Here is a 5,033-nt window from a genome sequence, read left to right on the forward strand (position 1 = left end):
CTAATTAGCTCTGTAAAGTTTAGAACAAAGTTAACAGAGACCCCAAAAGACTATTGTTTGGAGTTTCAGCCCACGGTTTGCTAGTTGCCAAGTAATGCAAAATCAAGAGTGCAGTTTTTACCCCCTGAAGATCTCTTTGAAAAACCAAGATAAAAGGAAGTACATTATTTACAGTAGTTGTCACATTTGTGGCTAATAATTGTTATTTAGGTTAACTCACATGCATACGAAACGTGTTGCCTCACTTGGAGAGGAATGGCTCGGTTTTCCAAGCCCTGTAGGCCTTTTCAGAGACCTGAGCCAAGGGAGGTCTAACATCTAAGAAAGATTGTTATAGTACTCCAGAGTTTAAAACTCTTTTTTCTTGGATGAAAGCACTGTAAAATTAACTCTTACCTAGCTACAAAGATTGGAGGGCATTAGCAAGACTACCTGCGAGATATTTGAGAGGCATATGGAGAAAATGGATGATCTCTCAGAAATATCCTCTTAGAATAGCCGTTATCAACCTTGCCTATGTATCTGAAACCCATGGAAAGCTTTGAACCAATGTTGATATCTGGGACCCATCTCAGACCAATTACTTAAAAATCTCTGCTGGTGGTATAGCCAAGACAGAGTCATATTTCAAAAGCTGCTCAGATGATTTTAATGAGAAGCCGAAGTTGAGAGCTATTGTCTTAGAATCCATCAGTTATCACTTTCTGGTCCCTGAAGAAGAACTATGGGACCTATATGGGTTAAAGGGATGCTCCTCCCCACTTCCTACTTATAAAGGAATAGCTGCTCTTCTATTTTTGTCAGAGCAGTAGCATAGATTATCCAAAAGCCACTTGTGTTTTTTTTTATTGTTTTAAAAAAATCTTAAAAGAATCATCTAGTTTAACTTTGTATTAATAAATATTAAAATTTGTTTGCACTCAAACTAATCCAATAAGCATACATTGACTAAGCATAGAGATGGATTTTGGGGGATATGAAGGCTACTGACATTGAAATAGTCCCACAAAACACAGAGCAGATACACAGTTAAGAGTGAACTTTAATTAAGCTGTAAATATTTTGAGCTCTATAGATTTTTCTTAGTATCTTCAGGTTCTAGAGAGTTAATGTGGAAGAAGCACACCCATACAGGTAAATTAGAGAGAGACCACAGCATGGCACATGAAGCTTCCAAGTGACTTTCAGTTGTGGCCTCAGATAATATTTATTGTGAAAAACCCATTGAAATCCTTAAACCTTGGTAAACTTAGAGTTTGGTAAATTGTCTTAGAAAGTCAAATCATCCATATTGGTTGGTTCTTTGTATAACATAACTGTAAAAAATTATTTAGTGGCTGGGTGCAGTGGCTCATGCCTGTAATCCCAGCACTTTGGGAGGCCGAGATGGGTGAATCATGAGGTCAGGAGTTCAAAACTAGCCTGGCCAACATGGTGAAACTCCGTCTCTACTAAATATACAAAAAGTAGCCAGGCATGGTGGTGGGTGCCTGTAATCCCAGCTACTCGGGAGGCTGAGGCAGGAGAATCACTGGAACCTGGGAGGCGGAGGTTGCAGTGAGCCGAGATTGCACCACTGTACTCCAGCCCGGGTGACAGAATGAGACTCCTTCTCAAAAACAAACAGAAAAATTATTTAGTTTAGGAGTTGCAAACTGTCAGCTATATTTTGTTTGGCCAACTTTGTGTTTTAAAAGCATAGGTCAGTGGAATTCTTTGTGATTCCACTGTGATATAAACAGAAGGAAAGGAAATACTGGGAAGAAGACGGTAGGGTCCCTGGTGAGGGCTCCACCCTCAAGCCTGGGCCCATCACCCTAAATGAGAACTTCACATTCCTGTTTTCCGGCCTGAATGTTGCTTTTTGGCTCACACTGCCCCCCTATCCTGTACCTATAAAACCCCTAAACTCCACTGGCAGAGTAGCAGAGCGGCATGGCAGAGAAGGAGAGAAGAGAAGAAGCATCTGAATGCCAAAGAGGCAGCTGGATGGTTGGAAAGGAGTTTGGCTGGTGATGGCCAAACTCCAGGGGGAAGATTATCTTTCCACTCCATCCCATTTCCAGCTCCCCATCCCACTGAAAGCCACCTCCATCACTCAATAAAACCTCTGCATTCACCAACCTTCAAGTCCATGCGACGTGATTCTTCCTTGATGCTAGATAAGGACCCGGGTACCAAGAGGGCAGGATGTGGTGTAAAAGGCTGTTATCCTGACTCTTCACTGAGTTGGTTAACACTTAGCCATCTGTGGATGGCAGTTGCTAAAAGAGCATTAATTGTTACACACCCCTAGATGCTACCATGGGGCTGGAGCCCAAAAGCACTTCCCCAGCCCCAGCACCCACTCACCTGCCAAGTTCCCCCTCCCACAAGGGGTTTGAGTGTGGTGGCCGAGTAAGCAAGCCATACCCCCTCTCACAGGTTCCATGAAAGGGTCCAAAGAACTCTCCCATCTCAAGGGTACTGTGAAACAAAAGCCACAGGAGTTGATCTGGTATTATTCTGACTTTTGTTTAAAGTGGTCTTATGGGAACTAGGTCATCCTAACATATTTTTCTCTTAGCAGGGCAAACCAAGCAACATCTTGTACTATGTTTCTCCTCCAGATCTAGCAGATGACTCTCTTAAGATCAGGACAAATGTATCACTAATAAATATTTCAGGGCATGTTTTATTGTCTTATACATTTAAACCTTACTTGTTCCCTCGTGTAGGTTCTAAGTCCTATATAGAGAAGGACCACCTATACTTATTTTGTACTTCCCTCATTACATGAAGTGTAATATTTAGACACATCATGATTATTAAACACATGCAGGGTGATAAGTAGTGTTATTCAAATACATATAGAGTTTTGTGTGTGTGTGAAACACATATGGTAGATATAAATGACATATACAAGTGTGTGTATATATATGCATGTGTGTGTGTATATATATGCATGTGTGTGTGTACATATATATATATATATATATATATATATATATATATATTTGGAATGCCTATTTGTAGAGAGAGGGGGATTTGAGAGGAAGAACTGAAGAGCATTCTTAGCATTTTATGAATATGATCATTGCCCTGCCAACAGAGCATTTCACCAAGTACAGAAACAGAACCATTTAAACAAATAACATAGATAGAAGAGTATGGATGTTCTAACTGAATCAGATGCCCTAACTTTGCAAATTCTGCCAGATGGGAGGTGAGTGCCCTGAACTAACATCTGGTAATGAATATTAAACAAAGAATAAAAATAAAAGTTAGTAAAGGCATTTTTTTTCTTCTTGCTTCAGGCCTTGGTTTAAACTAATTTCATCGGATCCTCTTTTCCTTCTTATGATGTAGAATTTTATTTTCCAGGGAATTGAAGACTCTCTAGAAGAGCATATTAAACAATTATTCTTATCACCGAAGACTGCTTTTTGACAGGTACACTCAGAGACAAAAGAGAAACACCTTTCCCTGGAGGAAATGGGAAATAAGGAGAAAGAATACAAAATGTAATTCTAATGTGGTACAGTCCAGCCACACTAGAAAAAGGTGATGAATAATTCAGGAGAAAATAAAGTACAAATTTGGAACCTTTTGTGAGCATACTAGCAATCTCAGAAAAAGAGATAAGTAGACTTGGAGCAGAATTCAGCTAGATCATTGGATGTTGGCTTAGAATTCACCTTTGTTTTGTCTGAGTAGTTGGTCAGGCTCCAGTTGAAGCTGAGCGTGGCTGAACAGTCAGAGAGGGAAAATGAGGCCATGAAATCAGATATAGTGACGTAAAGCAGTGTAAAGCACATCTCTTCCTTTGCACAATAATAGCAAATCTGATTTTTCTCTCTGTCTTAATCATAGTGCTATTTACCTTGACACTTCTGGCATTCTTGGTAGGACCACATCCTAGACTCCCAGAATTTTCTTAACCTTGGAGATAAATTTAAGGTAGAGAAGATGATAACCATATAACCCCAGCATCAGAGTTCAGCTCTGCTTGTTTCAATAGTGCTTTGGCATTCCAGTTTCTAGTCCCTCCTTGCCATACTAGGCCTGTGAAACTGGCCTTGTTTTAGCTACACACTGTAATAGAAAACCATGCCTATGAGACAGATTCTACTAGTATTCATGAAACTCCTTCTAGTTAGCTTTATTCTAACTCTTATTCTTTCATACTCTCTCCACTATTCCCTCTCTAGCCTTGACAAATCATGACAATATTTCTTTCTTCTCAAACTCAGTGCCCTGTGAGAGTCTCAGACTACTTCCACTCTTCTGAATTCTTTTTTGTCAGTGATGGTTTTGGACTTCCCTGTTGTTTCTTTATCTTCATTTAGACAGACTGGAATTACTATGAGGTTGGCCAGTGACTCAGTGATTCAAAAAGTTGAAGCTGTATGTGATTTGTTGGATGCCTTCTTGAATTCCTGCCTCTATTGGCCAATTAGAAAGGACAGTTCTCATGCATTGTCTAGGATGCCTTCAGAAATCGCTGTCACTCAAATTCATATTGTAGCTACCATAAAATATGCAACTTGGATAGAATTATTCTCCAAGAGCATTTCTTCATGAAATCATGTATCAAAATGGCATGCTATTTGTGCAAATTTAAGGCGACTTATGAATATTTTGAAACTCTTGTGACCCCCTTCTGTATGGAATATGTTCTAAGTTTGAGAGGAGGGGTATATAGACTGTCATTTTATGTTAAATGGCAGTGTGAAAGAGAGAAAAAAACAGTTAAGTGTGAGCCAACAATAAACTTGAAGCCTCCGCCTGACTCAATGGACCCCCTCTTGGCCAAAAGGACCTCAGAGAAATCGGAAAAACCTGAATTCCCAGACTGGACACGCCTCCTTATACTCTCAGCCTTTTGGAGTTTAGGCACAGCTGACAAGCATTAAAGTTAAAACAGATATCATAAGATTGACACAGCAGACTCTTTGTGGCAATAAGATATCAAATTATAAACCAGACCTAAGGCCATGCAAGGCAAGGGTTAAATCACACCCTACAAACCATAACATCTCATGACGTGGATT

The sequence above is a fragment of the Homo sapiens genome, chromosome 2 (assembly GCF_000001405.40).
Source record: "Homo sapiens chromosome 2, GRCh38.p14 Primary Assembly".
Classification (NCBI taxonomy): domain Eukaryota; kingdom Metazoa; phylum Chordata; class Mammalia; order Primates; family Hominidae; genus Homo; species Homo sapiens.